This window comes from Homo sapiens, chromosome 16, assembly GCF_000001405.40.
Source record: "Homo sapiens chromosome 16, GRCh38.p14 Primary Assembly".
Taxonomy (NCBI): domain Eukaryota; kingdom Metazoa; phylum Chordata; class Mammalia; order Primates; family Hominidae; genus Homo; species Homo sapiens.
Window position 1 is genome coordinate 74,392,211 of NC_000016.10, and position 16,243 is coordinate 74,408,453.

Below are 16,243 nucleotides of genomic sequence, written 5' to 3' on the forward strand. Positions count from 1 at the left end.
CTTTAGAAGTGGTTGGTTATGTAAAATATTATTATTTTTTTTTTTTTGAGACTGGGTTTTGCTCTGTCACCCAGGCTGGAGTGCAGTGGCTCGATCACAGCTCACTGCAGCCTCAACCTCCTGGGCTTCAAGCAATCCTCCTGCCTCAGCCTCCCAAGTAGCTGGGATCACAGATGTGTGCCACCACGCCTGGCCAATGTTAAAAAATCCTTTAACTTTTTTGTAGAGATGCACTCCTGGACTCAAGCGATCCTCCTACTGGTCCCGACCACCAGCCTCTTTCCGATAAACATTTACACTGTTTATTATCTGATGCCATTTCTATCTTCTTCCTTGTCGTCCAGACATCAAAGAATTAGGTTTCTTCAGGGTTTTCTTTTTCAAGTCCTCATTGTTAAAGATCACTCACATTAGGGCCAGACACCACGACTCATGCCTGTAATCCCAGCACTTTGGGAGGCCGAGGCGGGCAGAGCACTTGAGGTGGGGAGTTTGAGACCAGCCCGGCCAACTTGGTGAAACCCCACCTCTACTGAAAAACATACAAAAATTAGCTGGGCGTGATGGTGCATGCCTGTAGTCCCAGCCACTTGGGAGGCTGAGGCATGAGAATCGCTTGAACCCAGGAGGCAGAGGTTGTAGTGAGCCAAGATCACATCAGCACACTCTAGCCTGGGTGACAGAGCAAGACTCTGACTCAAAAAATAAATAAAATAAATATCACTTACATTAGATATACCCAAGGGGTGGTCTATAGAGAGTTGGAAGCAGTGGTTATTGCAACAGGGACACGGAAGTCATCTGGCTATGCCAGGATGCCCAGGGGATACTCGGGGTGGGTGGCATGGTGCTGCTGGGGACTCACCGCACAGGACGCTCTGATTGACGCACTGCCAGGAGTAGCGCTCTGTCTTGGGGCTGCAGCCGGCCTCCTCAGCTCGAGTGTAACAACAGTCGTGGCCATGGCAGCACCTGCGGATGTCACATGGGCAGGACAGCAGGTGGGTGAAGCTCTCTCCTGGCCCTCCTCTGCTGCCAGGACCATGGGTGACTGAAGACCCCCAGGGAGGCACAGCATCCTCTAAGATTTTTTTTTTTTTTTTTTTAATTTAAGAGACAGACAGGGTCTTTCTCTGTCGCCCAGGCTGGAGTGCAGAGGCACAATCATAGCTCACGGCAGCCTTGAACTCCTGGGCTCAAGCAATCCTCCCACTTCAGTGTCCCAAGTAGCTGAGACTACAGGCACACGCCAGCATGCCCGGCTGGTTTTTTAATTTGTATTTCCTTTGAGACAGCGTATCTCTCTGTCGCTCAGGCTGGAGTGCAATGGCTCAATCAGCTCACTTTAGCCTTGAACTCCCGGGCTCAAGTGATACTGCCACCTCAACCTCCCAAGTATGCTACTACAGGAACACAAACTCCTTTTTTAAATTTTTTGTGGATATGGGGTCTCACTATGTTGCCTAGGCTGGTCTCGAACTCCCAGGCTCAAGCAGTCCTCCTACCTCAGCCTCCCCAAATGCTGGGATTACAGGTGGGAGCTACTGTACGCCTGGCCTTATCTAAGCTGTTTCCCTGAAAATGCCCGTCTTGGGTAATGATTCCATTGGCCCCACCATGCCCTGTCCTGCCTTCCTGGCTGTGCCCAAGCTTGGTCCCTGCCTGCCTGCCTGCCTGCCTCACTCTCTCTCTGGGTCTCGAGCTCCTGTGACACGTGACTCCTCTCTCTTCCTGGAGTGATCCAAGCCCTGCCACTTCCTGACTTTGCCCACACTGTACCCTCTGCCTGGGGCAACTTCATGTCTGCCCATTGTCCCTTAGGCCTCAGCCCAGGCACAAGCCCCTGCCTGCGGAGGTCATCCAGGCCTCACCAGGCTACACCCTCTCGTAAAATTGGATTCCCTCCCTTCAGGGCAGGTTTATAATGAAACCCTCCTCAGAGGCCAGCTGCGGTGACACCCATCTGTAATCCCAGCACTTTGGGAGGCTGAGGTGGGAGGATCACTTGAGGCCAGGGGGTCGAGACCAGCCTGGGCAACATAAGAGAGACTCTTGTCTCTCCTGTCTCTATAACAAATTTAAAAATTAGCTCCCCAGGCCAGGCTCAGTGGCTCCTGCCTGTAATCCCAACACTTTGAGAGGCCGAGGCAGGTGGATCACGAGGTCAGGAGTTCGAGAGCAGCCTGACCAACATGGCGAAACCCTGTGTATACTAAAAATACAAAATTAGCCAGGCATGCTGGCACGCACCTGTAATCCCAGCTACTCGGGAGGCTGAGGCATGAGAATCACTTGAACCCAGGAGGTGGAGGTTGCGGTGAGCCAAGATCACGCCATTGCAGTCCAGCCTGAGCAACAGAGCAAGACTCTGTCTCGAGAAAATAAAAACACACAAAAAATTAACTCGCCATGATGGCACATGCCTATAGTCCTAGCTACTTGGGAGGCTGAGGTGGGAGGATTCCCTTCAGCCCAGGAGTTTGAGGCTGCAGTGAGCCACTATGATTGTGCCACTGCACTCTAACCTGGGCAAAAGCGAGACCCCAGGCCAGAGTGCATGATTTTGGGTCACTGCCACCTCCACCTCCCAGGTTCGAGTGATTCTCCTGCCTCAGCTTCTTGAGTAGCTGGGACTACAGGCATGTGCCACCACGCCTGGGTAATTTTTGTATTTTTAGTAGAGACAGGGTTTAGTAGAGACCATGGTGAAACCCCGTCTCTATTAAACAAATCTCTACTAACCCCATCTCTACAAAAAACAGCTGGGCATGGTAGTGCACACCTGTAATTCCAGCTACTTGGGAGGCTGAGGCACGAGAATCATTTGCATCTTGGAGGCAGAGTTTGCAGTGAGCTGAGATCGCACCACTGCACTCCAGCCGGGATGACAGAGCAAGACCCTGTCTCAAAAAAAAAAAGAAAAAGGAACAAACAACAGCAACAACAACAACAAAAAAAACCTGTGTCAATCACAGCCTTCGAGCTAGGGGAGAGGCGGCCGAATTCTGCCCTCTGCTAACGAGCTATAGCTTTGTGGAAATGGGTGAGTGGCGTGCCCTTGTGAGCCTCAGGGCCCCATCTGTAAAATGGGCCTAACTGTCATGCCCGTCTTTAAGAACAGCCTTGGGGGTAAATGAGTGGAAGTCATGGAAAGATCTCAGCCCACAACCTTCCACAGAACAGGCGCTTCTCACACAGGAAGTAGGAGGAGTGCAGAGGCTGCAGGCATGAATCCAGCCAGACTGCCTGGGTTCAAGTCCCAGCTCCCACGTCTTGGTAACTAAGTGGCCTCAGACAAGTTACTTAGTATTTCTTTTTTCTTTTTTTTTTTTTTCTCAGACAGAGTTTTGCTCTGTCACCCAGGCTGGAGTGCAGTGGTGTGATCTCCGCTCACTGCAACCTCCGCCTCCCGGGTTCAAGCAATTCTGCCTCAGCTTCCTGAGTAGCTAGAATTACAGGCACCTGTCACCACGCCCAGCTAATTTTTGTATTTTTAGTAGAGACGGGGTTTCACCATGTTGGCCAGGATGGTCTCGAACTCCTGACCTCGTGATCTGCCTGCCTCAGCCTCCCGAAGTACTGGGATTACAGGCGTGAGCCACCGCACCTGGACACGTTACTGAATATTTCTGTGCCTTGGTTTCTTCATCTGTGAAATGGGATTGTTATGAGAACACAACGGGATTCCCAGGGCAGTTCCTAGTGCATAGTCTGGCTGCCTTTGTGTGTGTGTGTGTGTGTGTGTGTGTGTGTGTGTGTTTAATATAGAGACACTCTATCACCCTCCTGTCTCCACCACATCTCAGATGGGAAGGGAGAGTGTCCTGGATTAGCCGCAGGCCAAGCATGGGTCATCCCTTCATCTGCATAGGGCGCCAGTTCACATTAGCCTTTTATGAGCCACAGACCAAATCCTTCATCCAGATAAGGGGTAGCCAATAGAACCTCAAAAGCAGTACTTCCTGGGTGCCATGGCTCGTGCCTGTAATCCCAGCACTTTGGGAGGCCGAGGTGGGCCGATTAACGAGGTCAGGAGTTCAAGACCAGCCTGTCCAACATGGTGAAACCCCATCTCTACAAAAAATATGAAAATTAGCCGGGCATGGTGGGTGCTTACCTGTAATCCCAGCTACTTGGGAGGCTGAGGCCAGAGAATCACTTGAACTCAGGAGGCGGAGATTGCAGTGAGCCAAGATCATGCCACTGCGCTCCAGCCTGGGTAAGAGACTTCTCAAAAATAATAATAATAAAAAAAATAAAATACAAAAACTAACAAAACACCTAGGAAACTTTGTAACCAGGCTCTTGAGCCGCTTGCTTAGGCCCACTCCCGCCCTGCAGAGTGCTTTATCTGTTTCATAAATTCCTGCTTTCACTGCTTCCTTCCCATGTCTCATTGCTATGCTACTTTGTGGATTTTGTTCAATTCTTTGTTCAAAATGCCAAGGACCTGGACGGCTCACACTCACAGCCCTGCTTCCCGGAACAGGCCTGGCTGAGTTCCAGCTGTGCAGTGAAGCCCAACTGTGGGAGGCGGGTGACCCTGGACTCCCTCTCATGATCTGGACAGAGATGGGGTCTGGGGGTACACCTGGTCTCAGACCAGCCCCAGATTCTTTTGTGACCTGAAGGCAGCTGGCTGGTCATTGGAACTGGCAGAGTCCCTCCAACGATTGGGGAGGGAGCCTCTGAAGCAATCTTTAGAGTGACATCTGGGACACAGTGAGGAACCCCCTGGCTGCTGAACGAGGGGTGTCTGTGAGCCAGGACCACTGGGCACCAAGGGCCTGAATCCAGGCTCCTCTGCCCCAGGACTCGTGGTATGCTGTGACTGCAGGGACAGGCAGGACCCCATCCCCTTCTCCCCAAATGCAGTCACACCCCAGACGGGCCCACTTGCAAGGGTCCTGCGCTTCATTTATGCTCTGCTGTCCTCATCTTGAAATTTTTAGCACATGCCTGTAATCCTACCACTTTGGGAGGTCGAGGCAGGTAGATCACCTGAGGTCAGGAGTTCGAGACCAGCCAGGTGGAGAAACCCTGTCTCTACTAAAAATACAAAAATTACCCAGACGTGGTGGCGGGCACCTGGAATCCCACCTACTCGGGAGGCTGAGGCAGGAGAATCACTTGAACCCGGGAGGCAGAGGTTGCAGTGAGCCAAGATCGTGCCACTGCACTCCCGCCGGGGTAACAGAGTGAGACTCCATCTCAAAAAAAAAAAAAAAATTCTTAGTAACTTCTGAATAAGGGCCCCACATTATCATTCTGTACCAGGCCCCACAAATGATGTAGCCAGCCCTGCACACCCGCCTTGCTCACCAGTTGCCCAAAGTGGCTGACCTGGAAGGATCCTTCATACTCTGAAGCCCGCGGTGCTTATGTCTTGGGAACTGCATCCTTTACTCTGAACAAAGGGCAGCGAGGTAGAAGAGGCTGTAGACAGGCCCAGAAGAACCTCACAGTCTCTATCTTTCCCTTCCATCTGGTAGGTTGGGCTGCCCGAGCTTCCCCTGCACAGGGCGCCCCGCAGGAAACTTGTTTCAGACAGAGCTGTATATTCTCCCAGTGAGGTGACAAAGTCAGGAGGAAGGAAACCTCAGGTCGGGCTGGAGAACTCTTTGCTGAGCTTGTTCACTGCTCCTGGCATCCCCACTATGCAGAGGAAAAGGGGACTCCCCAAGCAGTGGGATCCCCCGCTTCCCAGCCCAGGCTCTGTCTGCCTTGGCAGAGGCTGGGCTGGCTGAGCACCTGTGGGCAGCCACGCACCTCAGGATGTTGCGCTACAGCCTGACCCTATAGAAAGCCAAGTGCAAACGCTGCTCATTAACCTCCACTCCCAAGAATCAGGCTGCTTGGCCTTGTCTCTGCTGTGGCCCCACCACTCGAGCCCTTCCTGCCAGGCTTGGAACCTCGATGGCCATTTAGGGACAGCATCTAAGCCACCTTTGCAACCTTGGCCTTGGAATGGGCTGTTGCACAGGGAGCTCAGCAAATGTTCCTCCAAGTGCCTCAGGTCCCGATTCCCTCTCATCATCCCTAGAATAGCTTTTCCTTTTGAGATGCTCAGGACAGGCAGACACAGGCCTCCTGTTCCCAAGAAGCAGAGAAGGGGACATGGGGCTGCAGGGCCAACACAGGGAGAGTCTTCCTGAGTCCTCCTCCTGCCAGCTGGTTTTTGCAGCTGCGGCCAGCCCTGGAGGCAGGAGACACAGCCCCCGGGTTCTGCGGCAGCGCCTGCCCCCGTTCCTCCAAGACGGCGTTCTGGGTGCTCTGAGCAAAACTGGATGCTGGCAGGAAGCAGCTCAGCCCTGGCCTTCACGGGAAGGGCAGGCACCCTCTCCTGACCTGGGGCTTCCCAGGCCCTCCTTTGGCACGTACTGAACTGTTTGTGGAACCATCTATGCCACCTCCCTCTTCCCTCCCAGGCTGAGACAGGACAGAGCCGCTCTTTGGAGCTCCTTGTCCCTGTGCAAGGCCAGGGAAGCAGAGGGCAGGGGAGGAGCTGGGAGGAGCTGGCAGGACCAGCGCTGCTTCGGCTTCGCAGCCTCCACCTCCAAAACCAGACAGAGCAGGAAAATCAGACTCCAGGCCTGGGAGGGCAATGAGTCCAAACGCCTTCCCCTTCCTGGCTCTCACCCAGAAGTCCTCCAAGATGCCAGAGCAAGGGCTTTTCATCTTTACTTTCCTCCTGAAACCTGAGACCCCATGAAATCAACAAGGAGCAAGTGAGTACTTCCCGGAGGAAGCTTTACCTCTCAGCTGCTTCTCAGGGAATATCTACCCCAACGCTGAACTCCTGAAGATTTCAGTTAAATGCGACCCTCAGCCTGATCCCACGGAGAGCCCCAGGGTGTGAACTGCACATCTGAGATTGTCTTTGTTTTTTTGAGATGGAGTTTCACTCTGTTGCTGAGGCTGGAGTGCAGCGGAGCAATCTTGGCTCACTGCAGCCTCCGCCTCCCGTGTTCAAGGATTCTCCTGCCTCACCTTCCTGAGTAGCTGGGACTCCGGGCACACACCACCCCAACCTGGCTAATTTTTGTATTTTTAGTAGAGATGGAGTTTAACCATGTTATCCAGGCTGGTCTCAAACTCCTGACCTCAAGTGATCCACCCACCTCGGCCTCCCAAAGTGCTGGGATTACAGGCATGAGCCACTGCTACCAGCCTGAGATTGTCCTGTCACCTATAACACCTGGCCCACCCTGAAAGTCACAAAAGTCACATCTCCCCCTTCTCATTCCAGTCTAAGGATAAACAGCCGCAGCACTTCTCAGAGAAATTTGCACACTGGAGGATACTTTCCAAAGTCCTTTCACATCGTGTACAGGAGCCCTGTGACCTAAGAAGAGCAAATGTCTTTACCCCGTTTCTCAGATGAGTAAACAGAGGCCCAGGGAGACAAAGTTAACTTGCACAAGGCCATGAAGCATTTTGCCAGAAGTGGGGATGTAATCAATCCACGCACGATTCCCAGGCATGGAATCTTTCCAGTACCCTAGTGCTCACCCACACTCTCCGCCAGAACTTTTTTTTTTTTTTTTTTTTGAGACTGTCTCGCTCTGTCGCCCAGGCTGGAGTGTAGTGGTGCGATCTCGGCTCACTGCAAGCTCCACCTCCCAGATTCACGCCATTCTCCTGCCTCAGCCTCCCGAGTAGCTGGGACTACAGGCACCTGCCTCCACGTCCGGCTAATTTTTTGTATTTTTAGTAGAGACAGGGTTTCACTGTGTTAGCCAGGATGGTCTCGATCTCCTGACCTCGTGATCCGCCTACCTCGGCCTCCCGAAATGCTGGGATTACAGGCATGAGCCACTGCACCCGGCCGACCTGTTTCATTCTGCTTTCTTCCCATCTGGCTACTGACCTCCCCTGTCCCGGTGTCATCTGCTGTCATTCATGATGACCCTGCTCATTAGCTGCCCTACCTGTGCTCCATGCACTCAGCTGTGGCGATGCAGGAGGAAGTCCACCTGGGGAGTCCACTCCTGAGCCAGGAGTCCAGAGCAAGCATCTCCAGCCCGCTTCCAGGTGCTTGGCCCCGTGATGGTTCATTCATTTATTCTCCAGACCCCTACTGAGCACCTGCCTCATGCCCAGCCCTGAGCAGACAGCAGTGAGCAGGTTCCCACCCTCACTCTCTGGTGTAGAGCTGTCCTCTCTGGTAGCAAGTGCTGAGAGAGGGGCCCAAAACCAACCGTACCTCCACCAGGTGATCTGGCCGCGGGAAGCACAGGGGTGGCATCACCTGACTTCCCAGCCCTCCTTGAAGCTGACTCTTGCCTTTAAACCCATGGAGCTTTCTTTCTCTTTTTCTTGTTCTCTTTTTCTTTTTTCATTTTCTTTTTCTTTCTTTCTCTTTTTCTTTTTGTCTTTTTTCTTTGTCTTTCAAGAAATTGAGGCCAGGCATGGTGACTCACACCTGTAATCCTAGCACTTTGGGAGGCCGAGGTGGGTGGATCACCTGAGGTCAGGAGTTCAAGACCAGCCTCACCAACATGGAGAAACTCCATCTCTACTAAAGAAAAAACAACAACAACAAACACAACTAGCATGGTGGGAGATCACATCATTGCACTCCAGCTTGGATTTCAGAGTGCGACTCCTCAAAAAAAAAAAAAAAAAAAAAAAAAAAAAAGCCAGCCGGGCACAGTGGCTCACGCCTGTAATCCCAGCACTTTGGGAGGCCAAGGTGGGTGGATCACCTGAGGTCAGGAGGTCAAAACCAGCCCGACCAATGTGATGAAACCCCATCTCTACTAAAAATACAAAAACTAGCCAGGCATGGTGGCGTGCACCTGTAGTCCCAGCTACTCGGGAGGCTGAGACAGGAGAATCGCTTGAACAAGGAGGCGGAGGTTGCAGTGAGCTGAGACGGTGCTATTGCACTCCAGCCTGGGCAGCACGAGTGAAACTCCATCTCCCAAAAACAAACAAACAAAACAAGCAAGCCACGTGATCTGAGACTCAGCCTACAAGTGCTGGCTTTGTCAGTCCCATGTTCTGACCAGGGCCTCATTGACCATTGCATTCCATGCGGGGTGAAGCTAGTAGAGAGCGGCCTTGTGCAAAGGCAGTAAGGCCTGGAGCTGGGTGCCCTGAGTATCTGTGATGTCATCTAACTTCTTGAAACCGTGTATCGGTCATGAGGCAGGAGAGCGAGATCTCATTGCTCTCTCAAGGTGTTCTCCATGCGGCCCTGGACACATCTGTTAACTGTTCTGTAAGACGCGGGTATTAATAGCACCTGCTTTGTGAGATGATTTTGAGGATTAAATGAGAAGAGGAGGTTGGGCACCATGGCTCACACCTGTAATCCCAGCGCTTTGGGAGGCCGAGGTGGGTGGATCACCTGAGGTCAGGAATTCAAGACCAGCCTGGCCAATATGATGAAAGCCAGTCTCTACTAAAAATAACTTCTTTGCCCAGTTACCTTCTTTTTTTGGGGGATGGGGGTGGGGAGACAGCTCCTCACTCTGTCACCCAGGTGGGAGTTTAATGACGTGATCACTGCACCCTCGGACTCCTGGGCTCAAGCAATCCTCCTACCTCATTCTTCCAAAGAGCTGGGATTACAGGCACGAGCCACTGTGCCTGGCCCAATGTCTCTATTTTTTATTTATTTATTTTTTTTTGAGCCACAGTTCCGCTCTTGTTGCCCAGGCTAGAGTGCAATGGCGTGATCTCAGCTCACCACAACCTCCGCCTCCCAGGTTTAAGTGATTCTCATGCCTCAGCCTCGCCAATAGCTGGGATTACAGGCATGCGCAACCATGCCTGGCTAATTTTTGTATTTTTAGTAGAGACAGGGTTTCTCCGTGTTGGTCAGGCTGGTCTCGAACTCCCGACCTCAGGTGATCCACCCACCTCGGACTCCCAAAGTGCTGGAATTACAGGCGTGAGCCACCATACCCGGCCTCAGTTTCTTTATTCTTGTCCTTCCATCGACTTGGCCCCTATTTTTTTTTTTTTGAGACTAGTCTTGCTCTGTCACCCAGCGGGGAGTGCAATGGTGAGATCTCAGCTCACTACAACCTCCACCTCCCGGGTTCAAGCGATTCTCCTACCTCAGTCTCCTGAGTAGCTGGGATTACAGGCGTGTGCCACCACACCTGACTAATTTTTTGTATTTTTAGTAGAGACAGTGTTTCACCGTGTTGGCCAGGCTAATCTCAAACTTCTGACCTCAGGTGATCCACCCACCTCGGCCTCCTGAAGTGCTGGGATTACAGGCATGAGCCATTTTCTTTCTGCCCAGCTATTTTTTTTTGCATTTTTTGGCTAGACGGGGTCTCACCCTGTTGCCCAGGCTGATCTCAAACTCCCGTCCTCAAGCGATCCTCTTGCCTTGGCCTCCCAAAGTGCTGGCATTACAGGCATGAGCCACTGCACCTGGCCTTCGCTTTGAATTAAAGTGGCAGGCAGGAAGAAGCATCATCTCAAAAATTGATGGTGACAGCGGCAGCGACTACATCTAGCTTGCACAGGTGGCAGCTTCTGTCCCACTTCGGTGGTGCCAATTGTAGCTTCTGTGCCAGCAGAGGCTGTGGGGTCTTCACCTGGCCAGCTTTGCCCAATGTCCTCTTCCTGATTTGATTTTCTGACCCTTTTGAGCTCCTGGGAACTAGCCAGGACCTCTGACCAAGTCCCTTTCTGCTTAGAGTTGCCAGAATTAGTTTCTGTTGGTTAAAACTAAGAACCTTGATTCTCACAAAAATAGGACCAGGACTGGACAGAGCAAGAAGCCCCAAAGGAAACAGGAGCAATTGAAGGCTGGAAAGTGGCCAGAGGACAGTGAAAATCCAGCTGGTATTAAGGGACAGGACACCAGCAGCCCCATGGCACGCCCTGGCAAGACAGCTAATCCCATTGTCCCCGGGAACAAAGTATCCATCAAAGGCAAGGCTTTGGGGGACCTAATGGCTCCTGCCATAGAAGAGAATAAAGATTACACTGAAGTCAAGATCTGCTGGGCAGGGCGGTCATGTTAACAGCGCCACATAGCTTAAATGAAAAGACAAGCTCAGAATCCAAATTCTTGGCTCAAGGTATGGTTAGAAAACCCGAGTGTGCCTGGCCAAAATGGCAAAACCCCGTCTCTACTAAAAATACAGAAATTAGCCAGGTGTGGTGGCAGGTGCCTGTAATCCCAGGTACTTGGGAGGCTGAGGCAGGAGAATCGCTTATATCCAGGAGGCGGAGGTTACAGTGAGCTGAGATCACACCACTGCACTCCAGCCTGGGCGACAGAGTGAGACTTTGTCTCCAAAAAAAAAAAAAAAAACCAAAACTCGAATGTGTTATTTTGCAGCTGAGAGAGCAGAAAAAACTGAAAACTTGATCCAATGGTTACAGAATGACCAAGGGGACCCACACCTTAAAAGGTCTTTATTTGGGAAAGAGTGAAATGTGGAGACCAGAGGCTATGAAAATTAGGCTGTGTGGAAAGATAGGGAAGCCTTAGGTACCTAGCCCCTCCCCTCCCCACCACCCTTGCCAGCCAAAGCTTCCTCTTTGTCACTGAAGATCCTAGTAGCAGGAACTCCCTTGCGGGCAGTTAGGTGTTCTATGTAGCTGAGGTATGGCCTGCAGCGACGGCTGAGTCTGTTTCTACACTGCTATAAAGAAACATCCAAGGTTGGGTGCGGTGGCTCATGCCTGTAATCCCAGCACTTTGGGAGGCCGAGGTGGGCGGATCACCTGAGGCTTGGAGCACGAGACCAGCCTGACCAACATAATGAAACACCCTCTCTACTAAAAATACAAAACTAGCTGGGTGTGGTGGTTCACGCCTGTAATCCCAGCTACTTGGGAGGCTGAGGCAGGAGAATAGCTTCAACCCGAGAGGCAGAGGTTGCAAAGAGCCGAGATCACGCCATTGCACTCCAACCTGGGCAACAAGAGCAAATCTCCATCTCAAAAAAGCAAACACCGAGACTGGGTAACTTATAAAGAAGTTTAATTGACTCACAGTTCCACACGGCTGGGGAGGCTTCAGGAAACTTACAACCATGGAGGTAGGGGAAAGCAGACACCTTCTCCACAGGATAGTTACGAGGATGTAAGCACGAGAAAGAGGAACTGCCACGCTTTAAAACCATCAGATCTCGTGAGAACTCACTCACTGTCACGAGCACAGCATGGGGGAAACTGCCCCCATGATGCAAGTACCTCCACCTGGTCCATCCCTCAACCCGTGGGGATTGTAATTCGAGATGAGATCTGGGTGGGGACACAAAGCCTAACCATATGGGTGGGACGGATGGCAGTTATTTCCAGGGTGGGCTGTAGCCTCTTCCTCCAACCTACATCTCCTGTTTCCCAAGCTGGTAACCTGGATGCCCTGGGTGACCTAAGAAGCCATGTGCTAAAGATGTCAGGACCTCAGTCGGCCGGGGTTCCCCCTTCCCCATTTCAGTTGAGGGAGGAAGAGCCTTTCAAGAGCGAGAGCTAGCCAGCAGCTAGCATTTCCCTATGTAACACACCCTGTAATGACCCTGCCCCGAAGGAGTCTCCTTATAAGCCCTACCCCTCATTTTCTCCAGAATTAAATGACAAGTCACATCCCCGCAGGCCCCAGGGGCCAAATCTAGGAGGGTACTGAATCATCAAAAAACTCCAGGGGGAAGATACTGAATCACCAAAAGAAACTAAAGATTTTGCTAATTGATATTGGCTTACTCACAGTACATGGTTGGCTAAAAAATTTTTTTAATTGATATTGGCAAAAATCTGGGAAGGTGATCTGAGAATGAATTCTGAGGGTGCAGGATGGGTGAGGGAGGAAGGGGATGCTAGATAGGGATGAATGTACCGATATTGAGGATTCCACAGGGACAGCTTGAGAAGCTGGGATTATAGGCGTGAGCCACAGCGATAATGTAGTACTTTCAGTGCTGAAATCAGGATAGTGCCAGGCAAACTCGGACAATTGGTCAACCTAGCTGTTAAGTAACTAACTTGCTCTAAATCACAGTTATTAAGTGGCAGGGCCTGTATTCAAATGCAGGTGGGCTGACTTCAGATTCAAATTGTTTGCTTTTGCCAGTGGTTCTCAATCTTGAGCATGCAAACCTGGAGGCCTTGTTAAAATTCAGATAGCCCCATCTTCAGGGTCTCCAATTCAGTAGGTTGGGGCCGCCGAGAATTTGCCTAACCAGCTCCCTGGTGATGCTGAGGCTGCTGGACTGGGAAGACTGGGAACCAACTGAGAAGACCTTTGTATTTGGCTTTCTCACCTCCAGATAAGGGCTTTTTAACTTTTATTTTGTGAGACAAGGTCTCAATCTCTCACTCACGCTGAAATACAGCTTATGATCATGGTTCACTGCAACCTCAAACTCTTGGGCTCAAGCAATCCCCTGCCTCAGCAATATGAATAAACATATTGGAGGCCAGGTGTGAGACTCCACCTCAAAAAAAAAAAGTAAAGGAATAGGGCTGGGCGCGGTGGCTCACGCATATAATCCCAGCACTTTGGGAGGCCAAGGCAGGCAGATCATCTGAGGACAGGAGTTCGAGACCACCCTGGCCATCGTGGTGAAACCCCGTCTCTATTAAAAGTACAAAAAAAAAAAAAGCCGGCATGGTGGGGGCACCTGTAGTCCCAGCCACTCGAAAGCTGAGGCAGGAGAATCGCTTGAACCCAGGAGACGGAGATTGCAGTGAGCCGAGATCACGCCACTGCACTCCAGCCTGAGCAAGAGCAAGACTCCCTCTCAAAAAAAAAAAAAAAGTAAAGAAATAAAACAATGGCTACTCCATAGAGCAGCCCCGAGGGCTGCTGGTTGCTCATTTTTATGGTTATTTATTGATTATATGCTAAAGAAGGGGTGGATTATTCATGCCTCCCCTTTTTAGACCATATAGGGTAACATTCTGGCGTTGCCATGGCATTTGTAAGCTGTCTTGGCGCTGGTGGGAGTGTAGCAGTGAGGACGACCAGAGGTCATTCGCATCACCATCTTGGTTTTGGTGGGTTTTGGCCGCGGCTTCTTTACTGCTTGTGCCGGCCTCTCATCTCATCCTGTGACTTAGAATGCCTCCACCACCTGGGAACACAGCCCAGTAGGTCTCAGCCTGATTTTACCCAGCGCCTACTCAAGATGGAGTTGCTCTGGTTCAAAGGCCTCTAACAGAAGCTAAACACAGGTGGGGGCTTTCAAAGAAGCAGATCCAATGCCCACTGCCCTTCCTCACTCCCCTAATAGATGTAGGGCACCATGGACTTTTACAGACTGAGGGACATACTCTGGATGAGAATAGTTTACCCTATCAAGGAAAAGTAAGTTCCCCAGATGAAACGCCACAGATAACAGGCATATTGTAAGTCAGGCTTTGTACGTTTTCCAAAACTCACTACAGGGATCCCCTTTGAGGTGCAGAATCTTGTATCACAATAATCACGATTCCTTGGCCAAGGCCTTTTGATGTCATGGTCCGTGTTTTTCTCCGGATCGTTGGGCATGCGGAGGCAGAAGGAGAGCCTGGCAGAGTGAATGACAAACGCAAGGGAGGCTGCAGAGGGGAGGGAGTGAGGGCGGCCCAGGGCCCAGCCCGGCGGGAGCCGAGGAAGAGAAGGACCAGCCAGCCAAGGGCGGGCGGCTCCAGAGGAGGCCCGGGACTCCCCAGTTTCCCAGCCTCTTCCACCCCACGCGGATCCCTGCCCCGACGCTGATTCAGGGGGTCAAAGCCTCGGGCGGGGCGGACCGCGGCGGTGACTGGAGGCGCCCCAGTTTCTCTGGGTGTGGCCTGCGGACCCCCTCGGGAGCAGGTCGTCCCGCACCAGTGTCTGCCCCCGGCCCCCAGGGACACCTGCACCCGCCCCACTCACGACGGCGCGTCAGGTCCCCAACCAGGCGTGGGGCGGGGTGGGAAGGTCTCGGTTCGGCCGCCCCGCCTGTGCTGTCCCCACCGCCCCCCGGCCTCGGGCAGCGCGCTCCCGGGTCACCCACCTCCCGCGGGCACGCGCAGGGCGGCCCCTCCGGGCGCTGCGGCCGCGGCCCCGGCCAAGGGGCGGGTCCCGGGTCTGGGAGGAAGAGGCGCGGCTGCTGGCTGACCCGGGAACCAGACCGAGCCGGAGAGCGGGCCCTCCCGTCTCCCACCGGGCAGGAAGGCCTGGCGCTCGCAGGCGACCTTGCGCCAGTGCCCGGGCAGGGATCAGGGGGCTCAGCGCCTTCGCGGGAGGTAGAGAGAGCTGGGGGCATCTGTGTGACCACCCCGCGTAGGTCCGCGCTGAGCCAGGACACAGGACAACTGCCCGCGCCTGGTTAGACAGGCGAAGCCCTGGGAAGCAGTGGGAGAGGGAAAGACTGGGCCGGCGCGGGGCCGCATGCCTGTAACCCCAGCACTTTGGGAGGCCCAGGATGGCGGATCGCTTGAGCACGGGAGTTCGAGACCAGCCTGAGCAACATGGTGCAACCCCGTCCCTACAAAAAACACAAAAAATAGCGGGGCGTGGTGGTGCGGACCTGTGGTTCCAGCTACTTGGGTGGCTGAGGCAGGAGGATCGCTTGAGCCTGGGAGTTCGAGGCTGCAGTGAACCCCAGTTGCACCCCTGCACTCCAGCCTGTACGACAAAGCGAGACTCTGTCTCAAAAAAGAAAAAAATAGGGCCGGGCGCGGTGGCTCACGCCTGTCATCCCAGCACTTTGGGAGGCCGAGGCGGGTGGATCACGAGGTCGGGAGATCGATACCATCCTGGGTAACACGGTGAAACCCCGTCTCTACTAAAAATACAAAAAACAAATTAGCCGGGCGTGGTGGCGGGCGTCTGTAGTCCCAGCTACTCGGGAGGCTGAGGCAGGACAATGGCGTGAACCTGGGAGGCGGAGCTTGCAGTGAGCCGAGATCGTGCCACTGCACTCCAGCCTGGGCGACAGAGCGAGACTCCGTCTCAAAAAAAAAAAGAAAAGAAAAGAAAAAAAATAAATAAATGACAGCCAGACTCACTGGGTTTGACTCCCAGCTGTATGATCTTATGCAAGTTACTCAATCTCTCTGCCTTCATTTCTTCCGCTGTAAACTGGGACAGTGATAACCCCTTGTGGGTGATGTCTGAGGAGCTGGGTGAGGGAGCGGGACTGCACAGGCTCTGACTACCATTGGCCCTGGTGCGATGACACTCCGCCGGTGGGGGCAACACACACGCGTCGTCTCCCAGACATTCAGAGCAACTTCTATTAATACCCTGCCTGCCTGGGCCCCAGCCATGAGAACTGCCCCTCACTGAGGCAGAGTC

General features: G+C 52.8%; 1 long non-coding RNA gene across 1 annotated transcript, besides 3 other annotated features; it reads right to left on the reverse strand.

Annotated features, from left to right (window-relative positions):
• Positions 5,203-6,044: an enhancer, noted in NCBI's record as "H3K27ac-H3K4me1 hESC enhancer chr16:74431311-74432152 (GRCh37/hg19 assembly coordinates)". NCBI's record gives its function as "activates a minimal SCP1, AML or CMV promoter by ChIP-STARR-seq in primed H9 embryonic stem cells {active_cell/tissue: H9 hESC(primed)}" and the evidence as "EXISTENCE:reporter gene assay evidence [ECO:0000049][PMID:30033119]".
• Positions 7,873-8,372: an enhancer, noted in NCBI's record as "H3K4me1 hESC enhancer chr16:74433981-74434480 (GRCh37/hg19 assembly coordinates)". NCBI's record gives its function as "activates a minimal SCP1, AML or CMV promoter by ChIP-STARR-seq in primed H9 embryonic stem cells {active_cell/tissue: H9 hESC(primed)}" and the evidence as "EXISTENCE:reporter gene assay evidence [ECO:0000049][PMID:30033119]".
• Positions 14,079-15,009, reverse strand: LOC105376772 (uncharacterized). Its single transcript, NR_135170.1, has 2 exons — positions 14,958-15,009; positions 14,079-14,489 (listed from the first exon to the last, which is right to left on the reverse strand). It is a non-coding gene; the product is annotated as an uncharacterized LOC105376772 (long non-coding RNA).
• Positions 15,014-15,914: an enhancer, noted in NCBI's record as "H3K27ac-H3K4me1 hESC enhancer chr16:74441122-74442022 (GRCh37/hg19 assembly coordinates)". NCBI's record gives its function as "activates a minimal SCP1, AML or CMV promoter by ChIP-STARR-seq in naive and primed H9 embryonic stem cells {active_cell/tissue: H9 hESC(naive and primed)}" and the evidence as "EXISTENCE:reporter gene assay evidence [ECO:0000049][PMID:30033119]".